General features: G+C 49.5%; 1 protein-coding gene across 2 annotated transcripts in view, besides 4 other annotated features; it reads right to left on the reverse strand.

Annotated features, from left to right (window-relative positions):
- Positions 1–18,928, reverse strand: part of RGS10 (regulator of G protein signaling 10) — a 42,903-nt gene that overhangs the window by 12,296 nt on the left and 11,679 nt on the right. For both annotated transcript variants that reach the window (NM_001005339.2, NM_002925.4), the window contains exons 2-4: positions 15,194–15,312; positions 13,920–14,006; positions 3,397–3,540 (exon numbers count right to left, since the gene is read on the reverse strand). In NM_001005339.2, the coding sequence (NP_001005339.1) occupies positions 3,397–3,540; positions 13,920–14,006; positions 15,194–15,312 (350 nt within the window). The remainder of the gene's footprint in view (positions 1–3,396; positions 3,541–13,919; positions 14,007–15,193; positions 15,313–18,928) is intronic.
- Positions 3,339–3,552: a silencer, noted in NCBI's record as "fragment chr10:121274963-121275176 (GRCh37/hg19 assembly coordinates)". NCBI's record gives its function as "represses an EF-1alpha promoter that drives an FKBP-Casp9 reporter gene in an ReSE screen in HepG2 liver carcinoma cells {active_cell/tissue: HepG2}" and the evidence as "EXISTENCE:reporter gene assay evidence [ECO:0000049][PMID:32094911]".
- Positions 4,318–4,900: an enhancer, noted in NCBI's record as "H3K27ac-H3K4me1 hESC enhancer chr10:121275942-121276524 (GRCh37/hg19 assembly coordinates)". NCBI's record gives its function as "activates a minimal SCP1, AML or CMV promoter by ChIP-STARR-seq in naive H9 embryonic stem cells {active_cell/tissue: H9 hESC(naive)}" and the evidence as "EXISTENCE:reporter gene assay evidence [ECO:0000049][PMID:30033119]".
- Positions 5,690–5,969: an enhancer, noted in NCBI's record as "active region_4122". NCBI's record gives its function as "activates an Ori minimal core promoter by ATAC-STARR-seq in GM12878 lymphoblastoid cells {active_cell/tissue: GM12878}" and the evidence as "EXISTENCE:reporter gene assay evidence [ECO:0000049][PMID:35858748]".
- Positions 6,320–6,479: an enhancer, noted in NCBI's record as "active region_4123". NCBI's record gives its function as "activates an Ori minimal core promoter by ATAC-STARR-seq in GM12878 lymphoblastoid cells {active_cell/tissue: GM12878}" and the evidence as "EXISTENCE:reporter gene assay evidence [ECO:0000049][PMID:35858748]".

Here is an 18,928-nt window from a genome sequence, read left to right on the forward strand (position 1 = left end):
GAGCAGCGGAGCCGCACGTGGTGATGAGGGGCTAAGTTCGGGGGCGGCGGTGCTGAACACAGGAAAGCGGCTGCTCTGCGGCTCCACCATGAAGCCCAGCAGTGCTCAGCAAAGCCAAAGCCGCGGGAGAGGCTTTTGAAAGTTCCGTGAAATCTTGTGGCTCCAAACATGTTCCCCTCAGCTTCAATCTCCTTCACTTAGGAAAACAGAGCTCTCGAGGGAGCCTTTGCAAGAAAAAAACCGGGGCTAATGCTGAGCACGCATTTTGACAGTTACAGCAAGGCCCCGGAGAGACAGAGTTTTCAAAGCAAAACGGAACACAGGGGCCCTTCACATGGAGACTCACTGTGAAATCGGCTCTGATTCCAAATACCTTGTTTTCACCCAATTATGCCTTAGGAAGAAAGTTCGTGGATCTTTCTCTCTATGCAATTAAAAAAAATTTTTTTTTTTGAGGTGGAGTCTCACTCTGTCGCTCAGGCTGGAGTGCAGTGGCACTATCTCGGCTCAGTGCAGCCTCAGCCTCCCAGGCTTAAGCAGTTCTCCTGCCTCAGCCTCCCGAGTAACTGGGATTATAGGCGCCCACCACCACGCCTGGCTAATTTTTGTATTTTTAGCAGAGATGGGGTTTCGCTATCTTGGCCAGGCTGCTCTGGAACTCCTGACCTCAGGTGATCCACACGCCTTGGCCTCCCAAAGTGCTGGGTTTACAGGCGTGAGCGACTGAGCCCAGCCTTCCAATAATAGATTTTTAACAACAGAGTATAACAGTACTTGCTTTACATTCAGCAGTTTGGACTGCACATCTGTTTGGTGTGCATAAACATATACATTATTATTACACTTATTAGGCCACATCTGTTAGGGGCATGTGCATATGTGTATTTATAGAAAAAAAGATGGAAAGTCTACAGATAAAATACTATTTGGTGGTTATCTCCAAGTGTGCAATTATGCAATAAAGAAATGATTTCTTCTTTATATTTTTGTTTCCCAAGTTTCTTTTGCTGAGCATGTGTGATGCTTACAGTTGGATAAAAACTATTTTAAAAAATTTTTCTGAGGCTGGGCCTGGTGGCTCTTGCCTGTAATCCCAACACTTTGGGAGTCCAAGGCTGGAGAATTGCCTGAGCTCAGGAGTTCAAGAATAGCCTGGGCAACATAGCGAAAGTTCATCTCTACAAAAAAAATACAAAAATTAGCTGGGCATGGTGGCACACACCTGTAGTCTCAGCTACTTGGGAGGTTGAGGTGGGAGGATCACTTGAGCCCGGGAGGCCAAGGCTGCACTGAGCCGGGTTCATGCCACTGTGCTCCAACCAGGGCAACAGAGGGACATCCTGTCGCAAAAATAAAATAAAATAAATAAATAAATAAAATTCTTTGTCATTAAAAAAGAAAAAAAAAACAATCAGCCTCTGTCCCCTGTGTTTCTTCCTTTCTGTGCTGGCTAAGCCTCCCACTGAATGAGTCTAAGGGGCACGCCTACTCATAAGGTCCAGCTCCGTTCTGAGCTGTTGGGCAGGCGGGCTGGATCTCTCAGAGCCTGCAGTGCTACCGCATGGAGTCAGAACTCTCCCATTCCTCATCCTACCTTGGCTCCCGCAGTCCTGGGAAGTGGGATGACCTGCATTCACAAAGCCTTTCCAATCCCTCTGCTCCAGGGGCCTCACCGAGCTTTGAGAAACAGCAAGAGGCTGCCCAGGAGCCTGGCAGAGCAACACAGGCCATGATGGTCATGGGGGGAGCATGGTCTTTGAAGGCAGATGGACAAGAGGGAATCTGGCTTCCAGCACTTTTGCTCCCTGCATGACTTAATGCTAAAAAAAACACTTAATCTCTCTGAACCTTGCTTTTCTCATCAGCAAAATGGGAATAATAACACTCATTGGAGATAAAATGAGACAATACACACCAAGTGTGACATCAGGCTCAAACGGGCAGTCCTAAATGGTAGTTAGGGCCAGGCGTGGTGGCTCACGCCTGTAATCCCAGCACTCTGGGAGGCCGACGCGGGCGGATCAGTTGAGGCCAGGAGTTCGGGACCAGCCTAGTCAACATGGTAAAACCCCGTCTCTACTAAAAATACAAAAAATTAGCCGGGCGTGGTGGTGTAGGCCTGTAATCCCAGCTGGTAGGGAGGCTGAGGCAGGAGAATCGCTTTAACTCAGGAGGCAGAGGTGGCAGTGAGCCGAGATCGAGCCACTGCACTCCAGCCTGGGCAACAGAGTGAGACTTCGTTTCAAAGAAAAAAACCTGAAAAGGCCAGGTGCAGTGGCTCACGCCTGTAATCACAGTACTTTGGGAGGCCAAGGAGGGTGGATCACTTGAGGTCAGGAGTTCGAGACTAGCCTAGTCAACATGGTGAAACCCTGTCTCTACTAAAAATACAAAAATTAACTGTGTGTGGTGGTGGGCGCCTGTAATTCCAGCTACTCAGGAGGCTGAGGCATGAGAATCGCTTGAACCTGGGAGGCGGAGGTTGCAGTGAACCAAGATCAAGCCACTGCACTCCATCCTGGGAGACAGAGTAAGACTCGGTATTAAAAAAAAAAAAAAAAAAGAACAAAAACACAGAACCAAAAGCGAAATGGTAGTTAGTGTTGTCATTACTGAGAATACCTAGAGCACAGAGGTCAGTACAGGTTCGCAACCCTGGCTGCACTTTCAAGTGCCCTAGGGAGCTCTGACAAGATTCTGAGGTCCAGGGTGGGGTCGATATCCTCATATGGCTACAGTCACAAAAACTGCCTTTTCACCATACATTCCACTCCCTTTCCCAGCGCAAATCAATGCCCATGCGTCCTTCCGACTGGCTCAAATTCACCACTTCCAGGAGGCCCTCCGCAAGTCTCCTTCAATAGCCAAATGTGAATCAGAATTCACATGGAATATGCTGCCCAATGCTAACCTTTTCATTATGCCTCAGGGGCTACATGATGAACTATTAATAGCTTACAGCATTAGGCCACCAGAAGTATGTGGAGGTGTCTGGATATTTGCACAGAAACAGCCTGCCACTTTGAGTTCTCCTGCTTGCTTTCTGGAGTTTTCCGTCTATTCTTACCTTCAGCAATTATAGGTTGCTTTCTCAGTACAGGCTCCTCAAATAGCTCCAGCCTCCCCTCTAATCTGGACTGAGAAGGCAGATAAACTGGTCTAAACTGTGTGTAGACCAAGATTAAACAGGCCTGGGGGGACTCCTGTGGGGCAAATCTCAAGCTTAGAATTCTGGTCCCCACTCTCCCCAACCATGGCCCCTCAGTGTACCTCGGTCTGCCCGGCCGTATGAGATGGTTTCCAGGGAGTCTAACATCGGGTGTTTCAGTAAATTCTTCCAGGCCTGGAATTAATGTAGGTTTTCAAATCAAGGTGCAGGCAGGGAAGTCGGGTTACCTGGTCCTGGAGTTTCTGGAACATCAGAGGGTGCGGTTCTTCCAGGATCTTCTCGTTGAGCCGAGACTGCCCCTCCACGTTGACCTGTGATGAGGCCTTGCTGGACAGAAAGGTCATGTAGATCTCCTTTGCCTTTTCCTGCATCTGGAGGAGACAGATGGGGCCTTGTGCTATCTGCACACACAGCCTTCCCGGCCTGAGCCCTGCTCTCCCCTCCAGCCAGGCCCACAGGAGCTGCTGTGGCAAGAGAAAGGCACCCCCCACAGCCCAGGGGCTCTCAGGCCACTCCAGAGAGAATTTCTATATGGGAGAGCCTGCACTGCCAAGCCCCTACCCCCGCCCCTTCATGCGCCTGCAGCCACTTCTCCTGGAACAAAATTGCTGCATTAACCATTCAGAAGTGATGACAGAAAGAATCCTGGCCCGCAGAGAGCACTCAGTACCATTTACAGCCATCCTGTGGCCGGGCACAGTGGCTCATGCCTGTAATCCCAGCACTTTGGGAAGCCGAGGCAGATTGATCACCTGAGGTCAGGAGTTCGAGAGCAGCCTGGCCAACATGGTGAAACCCCATCTCTAGTAAAAAGACAAAAATTAGCCAGGCGTGGTGGTGCAAACCTGTAATCTCAGCTACTCAGGAGGCTGAGGCAGGAGAATTGCTTGAACCCAGGAAAGAGAGGTTGCAGTGAGCTGAGATTGCACCACTGAACTCCAGCCTGGGTGACAGAGTGAGACTGTCTCTCAAAAAAAAAAAAAAAAATCAAGTTAAAGTATGCACACCTACTATCCCTACCAGTTATTAAGCGCCCACTGGGCTGCAGGCACCTGCTTGGAGGGATCCCATTTCCTTAATCCCCTGGACATGCAGCAAAGGGCATTTTCCTGTTAGCCCCACTTTCCCCATGAGGACACAGAGGTCAGGAGAGGTGGCATGGCTTATCTGAGAGCTTCCGGGAGCCTTAGGACTGTTTGGCTCCAAGGCCTCTGAATTCTGCTCAGTTCCACTTCCGCAAGACACATTGGCCCCTCCAGGTTGTGCGGTATGCGGCCTTCCCAGGCAGGGTGCATTTCCTTTTAGCTAACGAGATACTGAGCACAGCAGTGGAGAAAACACTCGCTGCCCGCCCTCAAGTCCCGAGTGCAGTCCTGCTGGGAAGCAGGAGCCGTGAGTAGGTACCGGCTTCCTGTTTCACCCGAAACTAACCGAGGCTGGCTCAGGAGCACTCACTGATGGTAAGGAGATGACTTCACAGTGAGAACTGTGTCTTCAGGACAGGCGCCTCAGGGCGGGGCTGCAGGCGCAGGAGCCCTCTCCTCCAGAACTTCCCCTGAGGGCTCGATTTTCTTTTAGAGAAAGGAGACTTCCTGTGCTCATACCTCGCCAACAGCAAAAGCGGGGCTGTTTCTCTGAACGTTAGAGTCTAAAGCATGACCTTACCCTACAGAGCAAGGCAGACAACAAATGCCTCTAAAATGCAGCCACACAGCTATGACATGTGTGTGGGGGGCCTGGAAAACTGCCTTTCTCTCCAAGAGCCCAACTGGGGCTCCGCATGTGCTGTGGGGCTTGGTTTGGGAAATCCCAAGCTCTGCAAACCTTCTGCCCTTAAGGAAACCACCAGAAGGTTTTGATAGCTGGGGCATGAAAGGAAGGAAGGGTAGCCCTTTTTTAGTTCAGGGCACTGGGGACAAAAGATCCTGAGAAGCCACGGCCTGGCCATGTCCTGTTCTGCGAGAAAGCAAGCCTCACCAGCACTTGCAGGGAGACGGCCCAGGTTGGGTGAACACCGAAAGCCATGCTGTCCACCCTGTCTTCACTGTCAATAGGAGCAATGAATCGATGCCAGACTCAGTGACACAGGAGTCTCTCCAGACAAGCGTGGCTATCTAAGGGACAGGTCTGGGGGCCATCCTCGAGACCCAAGGGGGTGGCACTTAGGAGCTGGCCCTGCTGTCCTCTCCAAGACCCACCAGCTCCATGAAGCCACAGCCTCCCTCCACCACCCCCATTCCGTCAGGAAGCAACCCTTTTGGAAAACCACTTCCTGTTTTAAAGCCACTTCATGAAAGGAGAATTTCGGCCAGGCAGATGAGCAAACTCCATGCAGAGGTCTGGGGGCAGAAATCACTTTAGACCTCCCCTCCTCCCCTTGACATTCACACGCACACACACACGCACACACGTGCACACACGCACACACATACACACATGAATCCAGGATATCTTGAGTGATTCTGAAATAGAGAAGTGCAATGAATGGCTTGAGTCTTTGAGGTGGGGCAGAAGAGGCCGGGGGAGAGGAAGTAGGTTCCAGTGACTGCAGGTATATAAGCTTTGAGGGTCTCAGCCCTGCCCTCTTCCACCGGCTGTCCCTCCTGAGTCTGCGTGAGAACAATGTGGGGTTCAAGGCCCTGGCTGACCAGATGCCCACTGTGAGCAGCTGCAGGGCTCAGCTTATCTCGGCGGAGCTAGGAAGTATGACTGAAAAGGGAAACCCTGAGACGGCGACCACAAGCCAGTCACGGGAAGGCCTGGTGTCTAGGCCGAGAACATGAGCAGAAAAGAAGAAACAGTCTGTGGAGCTATTTTGATAGATTTTTCCAGAGCTTTGTTAACCCTATTCTAGCTACTGTCCGGGTAGGAACAGAGCTGGTGGAGTTGATTCTGTGTCTGTGGCCTGGAAGGATGGCCGACTTCTCTTCCACGGCCCTGACACATGTGGCTGGCCACAGCCTGGACCAGAGAGCCCCTTTCTCCCTGGGGAGACCTGAAGTGTCCAGCATCTGAGGCTGTCCTGGCAGGTGCTGGAGAGGGCCCCACCTTGGCCCATCAACTCGGGGACTGCCCAGGAAGCACCTGCACCCCAGTGAGCACCTTCCAGGCACCCCACAAGGCTGAGGCCCTTCTTCGAGGCCCAGCAGTGGCTCAACTGTGACAATGCTCAGCCAGACGTCAGCTCTCGAACCCGGCTCCCTGCAGGTGCACGATCAGGAGAAGCAAATTCACTTTCCTATCAGCCCCAGAAGTGCACCTCTATGCAGACGAACAGCAAAGTCACCAGGGGCCCAAAGCTCAGAAGAGCGCTGCTTCCCACACTGGCCCCGCCCTCCCCAATCGAACCTTCCCACTGGAAAATAAAAGATCCCCCTTGACCCCACAGCTCTCTACATGGGGGTTAATGGCCTCACCACCCCCAATCCCTCTTTTTTTTTTTCAAGATGGAGTCTCACTGTCGCCCAGGCTGGAGTGCAGTGGCGCGATCTCGGCTCACTGCAAGCTCTGCCTCCCGGGTTCAAGCAATTCTCCTGCTTCAACCTCCCAAGTAGCTGGGATTACAGGAGTCCGCCACCACGCCCGGCTAATTTTTTGTATTTTTAGTAGAGACGGGGTTTCACCATGTTGGCCAGGCTGCTCTCGAACTCCCAGCCTCAAGTGATCCACCTGCCTCAGCCTCCCAAAGTGCTAGGATTACAGGCGTGAGCCACCGTGCCTAGTCTCCAATTCCTTTTTGAAATCTCTTAAAAGAAAAGCATGCACCCCTGCCTCCATTGTCCCTCCCATTCATTCCTCACGCTACACACAGGCTTCCGCCCAGCCAGCGCTGCTCCACCAGCCGGCTGACGCTGCCCAGGCAGCGAGGCCTCTCAGACCTTCCTCTGGAGTGAGCTGGCCCCAGCCCTGCTCAGCATTGCGACTTTCTTCTCTTCCCGCTTCCCTCACCTTGTAAGAGCCCTGTCCTCTCAGGATCCCCAACACCTCCCTGTGTCTGTCCCCCAGCTCCTGTCTCCCTGTGTCTGTCCCCCAGCTCCTGTCTCCCTGTCTGTCCCCAGCTCCTGTCTCCCTGTATCTGTCCCCCAGCTCCTGTCTCCCTGTATCTGTCCCCCAGCTCCTGTCTCCCTGTGTCTGTCTCCCAGCTTCTGTCTCCCTGTCTGTCCCCCAGCTCCTGTCTCCCTGTATCTGTCCCCCAGCTCCTGTCTCCCTGTCTCCCAGCTCCTGTCTCCCTGTCTGTCCCCCAGCTCCTGTCTCCCTGTCTGTCCCCCAGCTCCTGTCTCCCTGTGTCTGTCTCCCAGCTTCTGTCTCCCTATCTGTCCCCCAGCTCCTGTCTCCCTGTATCTGTCTCCCAGCTCCTGTCTCCCTGTCTGTCTCCCAGCTCCTGTCTCCCTGTCTGCCCCCCAGCTCCTGTCTCCCTGTGTCTGTCCCCCAGCTCCTGTCTCCCTGTCTGTCCCCCAGCTCCTGTCTCCCTGTGTCTGTCTCCCAGCTTCTGTCTCCCTGTCTGTCCCCCAGCTCCTGTCTCCCTGTCCCCTCCGTGAATTCTGGGGTTTCCCAGACTTCTGTCCTTGGTGACAACTCTAACTCCATGTCCCCCCCAGATTTCAGACCAACCCTCCCCCAAGCTACTGACCCATGTAGCCAGTTGGTTTCTAGCAATGTGGGCATGGACATCCCACTGACACCTTGAATTAACACAAAGGAACAGAGTGGTCCCCTTCTGGCTGGCAGGCCCTGTAGCCCCTACTCTGGGAAGCTGGAAACTTCGATCCCCTGTAGCCACTCCCCACCCCCATCCCGTCTGCTGGCCTCCGGCTCCTCTCCACCCCGTCTTCTTCCAGAGATGGAATGTGGGAGACAATTCCTAGGACAATGAAAGGATCAAGACACTAACTTTACTAACATCAATTTCAGAAAGAGAATGAGGCAAAGAAAATATCCAATAAATGATATGAGAATATTTTCAAGAACTGGCTCAGGAAATGAGAAGCAGTCGGAGACACAGCAGATGACTCTGCAGAGACCCAGAAGAATGAAGCCAAGCCCCTGAACAGGTGGGGAGGGGGTGCCAACGAGAAGCGCGTCCGGAGACGGCAGGAGCTCGAGGGCATCAGGTAGCCCAGACGGAATTGATGAGGGCGGCAGAAAGAAGCCATCAGACCCCCAGGTCCTCCACCCCAGGTCCTGCTCCAAACTTGAGCAGTCAGGTGGCTCCCCCGCCACCTTCAACAGAAGAGTTGAGTTTTCTTATCTAAAGAAACAGACCCAGGGAGGCTCCGGAACAGAGAGGCACAGAGGACGGCAAGAATGAGACGCCGAACCGAATAAAGGGATTCAGGGAAATTCCAAATATAGACCCCCCGCGCCAGCAAAATTCTCCTGACACAGTTAATTAGAAATATGTTTAGTTCAGGAACATATCAGGCTTATGGCCCCCCAGGAAGAGACTAGAGGGCCCTTGTCTGGAAAAATAAAAAAGCAGAAAAAACTCAATAGGAGGATCTGAAGATGTAGTCAAAATCTCCAAAAGCAAAAAAAAAAAAAAAATTAAAAAATAGGAAGAATAAAACATGAAATTAAGGGCTCAATGCAGGGCGTGAAAGGTCATCATTGGAAAAGAGACCAGAGACAATGGAAGGAAAAAAAGTTACTAAAATGATGATAACAATAACAACATAAGACCATTTCCCAGAACTACAAATTTCCAGATTATATGGCTCCACAAAGAATTCACACAATGAATGAACTCCGCCTCTGCCTCCAAAGCCCCTGACTGAACAGTTTTAGAATACTAGTGATGAAAAGATCCTGACCAGGTGGAGTGGCTCACACCTGTAATCCCAGCACTTTGGGAGGCTGAGGCGAGAGGATTTCTTTTGGGACCAGCCTAAGCAACATGGTGAGACTGCTTAAACCCAGGAGGTCCAGGCTGCAAAGAGCCGTGACCTCACTATATTCCAGCCTGGGTGACAGAGTGAGACCCTGTCTCAAAAAGAAAAGAAAAGAAAATTGCTGGGCGTGGTGGTTCACACCTGTAATCCCAACACTTAGGGAGGCCAGGGCAGGTGGATCACCTGAGGTCAGGAGTTTGAGATCAGCCTGACCAACATGGCGAAACCCCATCTCTACTAAAAATACAAAATTAGCTGGGTGTGTTGGAGGGTGCCTGTAATCCCAGCTACTTGGGAGGCTGAGGTAGGAGAATCGCTTGAACCTGGAAGACAGAGGTTGCAGTGAGCCGAGATCATGCCATTGCACTCCAGCCTGGGCAACAAGAGCGAAACCCCATTAAAAAAAAAAAGAAAGAAAGGAAGGAAGGAAGGAAAGAAAGAAAGGAAGGAAGGAAAGAAAGGAAGGAAGGAAGGAAGGAAGGAAGGAAAGGAGGAAAGGGGAAAAATAGAAAAGAAAATAGATCCTATACTATCCCAGAGAGGGAAAAAAAGAAAAAAAAAAAAAAACAGAACAGTTTACATATAAATTACTGATTCTCAACAAAAGTAGAAGACTAAGGAATAATGTCTTCAAACTTCTGAGTGTGTTTCACCCCAGAATTCTATGCTCTGTCAGATTATCAGTGAAGTAGGAGAGTAGGGAAAAAAATAACATTTCCACTCAACAAGGTCTTTACATACCTACCTGCCAGACCCCCCTTCTCAGGAAGCTATTGCCAGCTGTGTTTTGGGCTCTTCTCTCATGAGTCATTCTGGAGGGAAGAAGTCATTCTCGTGTGCTGTTCCCAAAATGAGGGAATGACTCAGGAGAGAAGAGGACTTGGATCCAGGAAATGGAATGCCTTCATCCTACAAAGAGGAAGGAAGTTCACCATGTGTCAGGCATGGGTCTAGACCCTCGGAGACAGTGGGGAAGAAGAGGCCCCCCACTCCCAGATTCCAGAAGACAAACCACACAGAAGACGGACAAGTAAATGACATGGATATGTGAAGTTGTTGAATGCTGGATAATCCACGTCAAGGAATGAACCAACACAGGTCCTATTAAAACAACAGAGGCGAGAGTGGGATTTGTATCGACTCCTCAACAGCCTTAGTTGATGGAGAGAGAAAAATCCTCCCATGGTCTCCCTGCTGGAACAGATGTGATAAGTTTGACTGTGAAATCCAGTTAGGTTACGTGCACAACAGAGGATTAAAAAGAACTGGCCGGGCGCGGTGGCTCACGTCTGTAGTCCCAGCACTTTGAAAGGCCGAGGCGGGTGGATCATCTGAGGTCAGGAGTTTGAGACCAACCTCGCCAACATGGTGAAACCCATCTCTACTAAAAATACAAAAATTAGCTGGGCATGGTGGCACATGCCTGTAATCCCAGCTACTCAGTAGGCTGAGGCAGAAGAATCACTTGAACCCGGGAGGCGGAGATTGCAGTGAGCAGAGATCGTGCCACTGCACTCTAGCCTGGGCGAGAAGAGCGAAACTCCGTCTCAAAAAAAAAAAAAAAAACAAAGACATTCAGTTAGGCGACTTCTCCCAGTGCCTATGTTCCTCCACACTTTTTGTAGTAATTTAGAGCTTACTCCCTGGTTTTACTTCCTAGGCAGCGGGACTCACTAGGGAATGCCTGGAGTCAGAAATGTGGCTCTGAATTCTTTTTTTTTTTGTTGAGACAGGGTGTCACTTTGTCATCCAGGCTGGAGTGCAGTGGCGCAATCATACCTCACTGCAGCCTTGACCTCCCTGGGCAACTACAGGCGCACTCCATCATGTCTAGCTAATTTTTTTTTTTTTTTTGGTATTTTTTGTAGAGACAAGGTCTCACCATGTTGCTCAGACTGGTCTTGAACTCCTGGGCTCAAGTGATCCACCCACCTTGACCTCCCAAAGTGTTATAATTGCAGGCGTGAGCCACTGTGCCCAGCCTCGGGCGAGCTGCCGCTTAACCACTCAAGTCATATCCCTGCATCTTCGAATGGGAACAGTGACTCACACTGGGGCCCAAACACTCCAGGCCAAACACCCCAGGTGTCACCAATGCCTCCACCCAATCTGCATTCTCAGGCAGTGACAGGAGGGTGGCATTCATTGCTCTAAAGCAATTGCCGGGTGCATTCCAGGCTTAAGGACACAGACTTTCAAGAAGTCCTATGCTGGGCCGAGTACAGTGGCTCACACCTGTAATCCCAGCACTTTGGAAGGCCAAGACAGGCGGATCACTTGAGGTCAGAAGTTCTAGACCAGCCTGGCAAACATGGTGAAACCCTGTCTCTATTCAAAATACAAAAATTAGCCAAGCATGGTAGCACACACTTGTAATCCCAGCTACTCGGGAGGCTGAGGCAGGAGGATCACCTGAACCCAGGAGGCGGAGGCTGCAGTGAGCCAAGACCTCACCACTGCACTCCAGCCTGGGCAACAGAGTCAGACCTTGTCTCAAAAAAGGAAAAGAAGTCCTATGCTGGATGTCAGGGGTACAGGCATGGAAAGGGGCTGCCCATTCGGAAGCTCTCTCTGTAGGATGTGGACAGGGCAGGGCAACCCAACACCAGACCTGCCTGACCTGAAAGGCTGGAAGAGGCACATTGAAAGTTTGACCCCCTCCTTCCAACCACTCCATTAAAGTCCTACAGGGGCTTTCCCAGCCCTGCTCACCTTGGCACCCAGATTCCCAGGTGTGGCTGCCCTGCCAGCCTGAAGCACAGCACAGTGGCCTCCCCCTCAAACATGCCATTCAGCCCTTCTGGTCTTCCCTCAGCTCTTGTCGCCAGCCCTGCCTGCCCACACACTGTCCCTGCTCCCGGGAACCCCCTCCCAATCTCAATGCCAAGTCTCAGCTAAAAAGCCACTTCCCCTGGATCCCTCCCCGTTGCCCACGCCTTGCTCCCACGACACATGTGCTTCCCATCTCTACACTCATTGCACTTGCACAGGCTTGCTCCCCTTGAGGTGCCCGTTCCCTGGAGCCGCTCACCTGTCCTGTCCCTGGGCTGCCTTCCTGTTCAGTGCTGGGCACCAAGCAGGCACTTCACAAAGATTTGGGGAATTCAACTGAACGGAGGCACAGAGCAGCATGGTGGTGCAGACAACAACGGGTGACTTCAGGGAGCTAGTTCAAGTCCTAGCTCTGCCACGGTGCGGGGACCTCACTTCCTTGTCTACACTGCAGGGGCGGACCGGCCCACCCACAGGCCCCTCCTACCTCTAACACTCAAAAGAATAAGGCAGGGGAATGGACATCTGTTGGCTTGCTTGACTCTGAGCTAGGATTTTATGGTGAGGCTGGTCGCAGCGGTGGCACAGTCTAGCATTTATCGATGGTGGTCCCCAGGCCCTGTCCTCGGTGCTGGAGACAAAGGACAACAATGAGGCTCTTGTTCTGAAGGCCCTCAGCCTGAATCCTAGCATCCCAAAGCATCCCCCACCACCTGCTTCTCACTTTCCCCTGGGGCCCCTCTCTGCCCAGGAGGCTCCGGCCAACGTCATCCAGAGGAGAGAAAAAGCCAGAAAGCAAAATCCAAGGGTCCCGCCCAGTAACAGCTTTCGAGGTGGGCCTGGGAAGTTCAAGCCAAAGAGAATCCATCTTAGAATACTCCCTTGCCACCTCCAGAGAGGAAGGTGGTGGAGAAAAGGCCGCGCTGCGCCATCCAGGAGGATGGGTGTCTGCGCCCGGAAAGGCCTTTGAATAAACCCATGATATACATTTTCCAAGCAGTTGTCTGCAAACGCTTCACGGCTTCTGGCCCATAGATTCCAGCTTTTGGAGACGAGGCCTCAAAAACTGGCAACGCGCAAGCCGCATCTGCCCATGGGTATGTTTTGTTTGGTAGGCAAGGTTTTAAATTTTTTTTTAATTAGTTCCAACATTTAAAAATCATCTGGTTTCACGTAAGGATCCAAATGTCCAGCTTCTTTAGAAAAACAGGCGGTACTAGGTGGAATATAAGACATGCCTTGGGAAGAAAGTCCACCAGGGTCGCAGGGCAAGCAAAGATCTAGGAGATCACCATCAGTAAGCTGGCGGAGACGGAACCTGAAGCAGGGGAAGCCCAGACAGCCACAGGCCCTGAACCACCAGCTGCAGCCTGTGCAGGCAGACAGAACGTCCTTAGCTGGCCCCAGTCCCCAACACTCCCTCCAGCCTCACACCAGGAGCCTCCTTCATTCACATGACTTACTGGCTCCTGCAGGCATTTAGCCAGCAGCCTCTTAGAAAGATACAGGGCCAGGCCTCATAAACCCACCCAGGGCACAGGCCTCCTTCCCCATAATCTCATCTACCCTCCCTCATACCCAACCAGCTGACACTGGGAATGAAGGCAAAGAGGACACATCTACCCAGGAGAACAATCAGAGGCTTTCTCTGCAGGATGCTCGCCAACTATGGGACGCTCAGTACGATACACTGAATAATTGACAATCCCTCTGATGCACCTTGTGCTTTTATCATTACACATCTGCGTATCGTTTTACCACGTCCAAAATGCTAACATGTCAAAATGTGGGGAAAACATCCTCATAACTTATTCATGAAGAAAAAAATTCTATGCAATGAGGAACTCTAAGTGACATAAATTGTTATTTTTATTTTAAATATTGGTCCATTTGAACAGCTCCATTTAAAAATGGATTAACTCACCCTTTTAAAAATGATTAATATTTGATCAACACAAGATACCTAATCTGAAGCTTAAATCTTCCCCCAAAACTAATATGAATCAGGTTTCTTTAGGCAACTTCAGAATCTATTGGAAAGGCAGTTGTAACTTTATAAGGGAAAAAAATTATCAGAGTGGAGGAAATACCTGCGTCTTATCTTGCATTTTCTTAAAATCTTCACATGCTAGCCAAAACAAAACATTTTCTTCACTGAATTCCTTTTTTAAAAATTCCTGTGGATACAAAGAAAAAGAGTCACACAGTATTCTACTTTAAAAAAAAAATAAAACAAATGGCATTTCCCTTCAAAGACTGATTTGGCAAAATTCAACAGAGGAGCATGGTTCAGTTACTCTTCGAAAACCCCACTCTGAAAAACAAATGAGTATGTTTAATGTTAAAGCTATAATTTCATATGCATTTGACCTTAATGGTTTTGACATTGTAAAGAAGAGTACAAATGAAGCAGGAATGTACTCATATTTCTAAGCTGACAATAAATTACCAAAAAGTAAATTAAAGTGGAAGATATATTGGTTCCTTCCAGACAGTGTTTAAACAAAGTACATTCCTCTAAAATCAGGCTGTTTTTTAAACAAAAGAAAAGAAAGCACATTAAGTATGTCTAAAGACACCATGATACAAACTATTTTAAGTTGGAGGTATGTGTGTTTTCTTATGGCCGATCTTGGGCAGTCCATGGCACAGCCAGCTACTCTGCTGTGCAGAGACCTCCTGAGTTGCAAACACTGCTCACAGTGGCCTGGCGACCAGGAACTAGAAGCCTAGTACCACCTGCCACTCCCTCCCTGGGAGCTCCAACAGGCACCAACTGCATGAGGACTCATCCTATTCCTGACCCAAGACTTAAAGACAGAAGTAACCAGGACTCATTCTTGAAATTCACATATGGTCCTCCATCTGGCACCGGGGGCTTCTGCTGGTCAGAAAAGCTATTTCTAGATGGGATCAACAGTTCCCCATCCATCAGCCCTGCTCTCGGAGGTCCCTTCGCCAAGTTCTCATTGCCAGCCTCTCTTACTCTGTCAACAATGCATTCTGAGAATCCCCCAAGCACGAGAGAACAAGCCTTCACGTCAGAGAGACCCAGAGCTGGGAATTCCTCATACAGACTCCACCAATAGGCACGGTATCTTCTCTCTCCTCCCACCCTGTACCCCTCCCACCTCACTACACAAAAACCAGAAACAGGCTACCCATCTGTGACAGCGTTGCCAACACAGTCATGACAGATGAGAAAGTCTCACCCTCAAGCTGGGATAGACAGTACTGAACTCTCAAGCTGGCATAGAGAGTGCTACGCTGACAGACAATGTTGAACTGGCCTATTTCTCCCCTGTGTGCATCTGAACTTCTGCACACACTGCATCCATCCCGATTAACAATGAAAAAGACAAACCCTAAATCTTTTCACGCCTTCTGGGTCTTCCAGCAGATTCTCCAGGGATGCCGCCCATTTGGCTGTGCTCTTGAGGCTCTGGTGGCTGCTGCTGGAACTGCCATCGCTGTCGTGGATGTCTGCAAAGCAAAGTTCAGACTGCATATGTGGCCAACAGACACTGTCATTTTAAGAAATCTGCATGCAATGGTCAGCACTGCCGTCACCATCACGGCTGACATACACCGACTTATGCGTCAGGCTCTGTTCTAGGTGCTTAACATGATGGACTCATTCTTGTCACACAACCCTGTAAGGCAGGCACTACTATTTCCTCCATTTTACAGATGGGGGTAAACTGAGGCTCGGAGGGATGAAGGGACCTGCTGTTTCCCACCAAATCCTTCCCCTACTCTTGTGTCCACTGGCCAATTCAGAGGCAGCCCTCAAGTCACACTCAAACCCTCCTCCAAGAGAACCTTGATTCAACAGCAACTGCTTCCCCATGGCGCTTTGTGCACAGACTTAGAATTATGGTGCTGTGTTGTGACTATTTACATGACTGACTCCCACTAGTCTGAAGGCTCCTATGTGTCCTCATCTTGTATCTCCAGCACCTAGCTCATTATCTGGCACAGAGATTAAAAAACTCATTGCAGGACGGGACCCACGTGATGGCGCAAAATGTCAGAGGGTTGCCAGAATACCCAGGCATCAAGATAAATGTCATTTCAGGCAATAGCTCTTTTTGTTTGTTTGTTTGTTTTTGACAGAGTCACTCTGTTTCCCAGTCTGGAGTGCAGTAGCACAGTCTCGGCTCACTGCAACCTCTGCCTCCTAGATTCAAGCGATTCTCCTGCCTCAGCCTCCCAAGTAGCTGAGATTATAGGTGATTCCCACCGCACCCAGCTAATTTTTGTATTCTTAATAGAGACGGGGTTTTACCATGTTGGCCAGGCTGGTCTCGAACTCTTGACCTCAGGTGATCCACCCACCTCGGCCTCCCAAAGTGCTGGGATTACATGCATGAGCCACCGCGCCCAGTTCCTCAGGCAATACTTTTTCAAAAAATCAAAATTTATGCTAAAAAATCCATGATGAACAAAATACCCAAATTTTAAATAAAGACAGGATCGGTTATGCTGATTTTTCCTTTTGCTTCAGAGTCCAATATGGCTCAGCATCACACTGTTATTTTTCCTGACTTTATTTAAACTTCGGATATTTGTTCATTACGGATGTTTCTGCATTAATTTTGATCTTTTAAAACACTGCATTAAATATCATTTATAGGCTGGGTGCAGTGGCTCACACTTGTAATCCCAGCACTTTGGGAGGCCAAGGCAGGCAGATCACCAGAGGTCAGGAGTGAAACCTCATCTCTACTAAAAATATAAAAATTAGTTGGGTGTGGTGGCATGCACCTGTAATCCCAGCTCCTTGAGAGGCTGAGGCAGGAGAAACGCTTGAACCCAGGAAGCGGAGGTTGCAGTGAGCCAAGATCACACCACTGCACTCCAGCCTGGGCGACAGAGCAAGATTCCATCTAAAAATAATGATAATAAATAAATAAATAAATAAATAAATAAATATCATTATCCTGATGCCTGAGGTTTTTGGCAACCCTCTTACATTTTGGTGCACAGAGAAAATGGATGAAAACTCTTTGCATCTGCACATCTTCCACTGTACTCTCTGACTCACGACACTGAGAAGTCTCCTGGGAGGAACAGGGAATCTCCAAATAACACACTTTGGCCACTTGCCTGTAGGAGGAGGGAACAATTAAAGCATGCTTCATTCTATGGCATGTGATCCCTTCCTGGAGTCAAGGAAGAACCATGGAATGTCACTTCAGATGGGGCCAGGTTCAAAACCCAGTTTCTGGCCGGGCACGGTGGCTCACGCCTGTAATCCTAGCACTTTAGGGGGCTGAGGCGGGTGGATCACTTGAGGTCAGGAGTTCAAGACCAGCTTGGCCAACATGGTGAAACCCCGTCTGTACTAAAAATAAAAAAAAGTAGCTGGGTGTGGTGGTGGGTGCCTGTAGTCCCAGCTACTTGGGAGGCTGAGGCAGGGGAATCATTTGAACCTGGGAGGCGGAGGTTGCAGTGAGCCAAGATCGTGCCACTGCACTCTAGTCTGGGTGACAAGAGCGAAACTCTGACTCAAACGAAACAAAACAAAACAAAACAAAAAACCCAGTTTCCCCAATTCAAAACTATAGGATCTTGGGCAAAATTCTTGTGTATATTTGAAAATCATCCCCCATCTCTTGGGTTATCATAAGGATTCAAAAATGGAAGCACATCAGGCACCTAGCAGCACACTTGGGACACAGTAGATGCTCAACAAATGTGAGCTCCTTTCTTCCCATCTCTAAAATAACCATCTATCAAGCAAACTACTTCTATAACTAACACTTTTTTCCCCATTGACTTTTTTTCTTTCCAAAGCTAGAGACATGTTTCTATAAAAAAAAGTTCAAATCTAGGAGAAAATAAACTTTTAATTAAGAAATCAGCAAGGCCGGGCGAGGTGGCTCACTCCTGTAATCCCAGCACTTTGGGAGGCCGAGGCAGGCAGATTGCAAGGTCAAGAGATCGAGACCATCATGGCCAACATGGTGAAACCCTGTCTCTACTAAAAATACAAAAATTTGCTGGGCATGGTGGTGGATGTCTGTAATCCCAGCTACCAGGGAGGCTAAGGCAGGCGAACTGCTTGAACCCGGGAGGCGGAGGTTGCAGTGAGCTGAGATTGCACCACTGCACTCCAGCCTGGTGACAGAGCGAGACTCCATCTGATTAAATAAATACATAAATAAATCAGCACAGCAAACCACCTCTAAATGATATATTTTTTTAAATAAAGTCTCATAAATATTAATTGCTGCAAACAGCTAGGGGGCCACACAGCTAAAAATGGTTTTGGAGAAAATCTGTATCAGAGCACACTGGACTTACTTAATAGTAACAGCTCCTGTGATCTCTGATGTTCTATGGGGGGTCAAAATACATGTTGACTTCTTGATCCCCTGGGACTCCAAATCCAAGCACCTGGGGAAACTACCAGGATTTTAGACATTCACCAGATGACATGAGCTAAATTAGAACCAGGCCAGCTGGGCACAGTGGCTCATGCCTGTAATCCAAACACCTTGGGAGGCTGAGACAGGAGGATGGCTTGATCTCAGGAGTTCAAGACCAGCCTGAGCAACATACTGGGACCCCATCTCTATAAAATATTTAAAAACTAGGCTGGGCACGGTGGTTCACACCTATAACCCCAGCACTTTGGGAGGCCCAGGTGGGCAGATCACTCAAGCTCAGGTGTTCGAGACCAGCCTGGGCAACATAGTGAAATCCTGTGTGTACAAAAAATACAAAACTTAGCTGGGCATAGTGGCATGTGCCTTTAGTCCCAGCTATTTGACAGACTGAGGCAGGAGGATAGCTTGAGCCCAGGAGTTCAAGGCTGCAGTGATCCATGATTGGGCCACTGTACTCCAGCCTGGATGACAGCAAGACCCTGTCTCAATCAATCAATCATCAATAAAGCAGAAACCCAGAAACCCAGCAGGGACCATGCTTCAATGCTCATTGGCAATAGAGTACGTAAGAGAATTATTTGGGACAAATCCTTTCCTCTAACCATGAAGGAAACTCACTTAAACACATCACCAAATGGAGCTGATGCTTTTCTAAAGTGACCCTCCAGTTCGTGGATATTAAATTAGTTCCCTGTTCTCTTTGT

This window comes from Homo sapiens, chromosome 10 (assembly GCF_000001405.40).
Source record: "Homo sapiens chromosome 10, GRCh38.p14 Primary Assembly".
Lineage (NCBI taxonomy): Eukaryota > Metazoa > Chordata > Mammalia > Primates > Hominidae > Homo > Homo sapiens.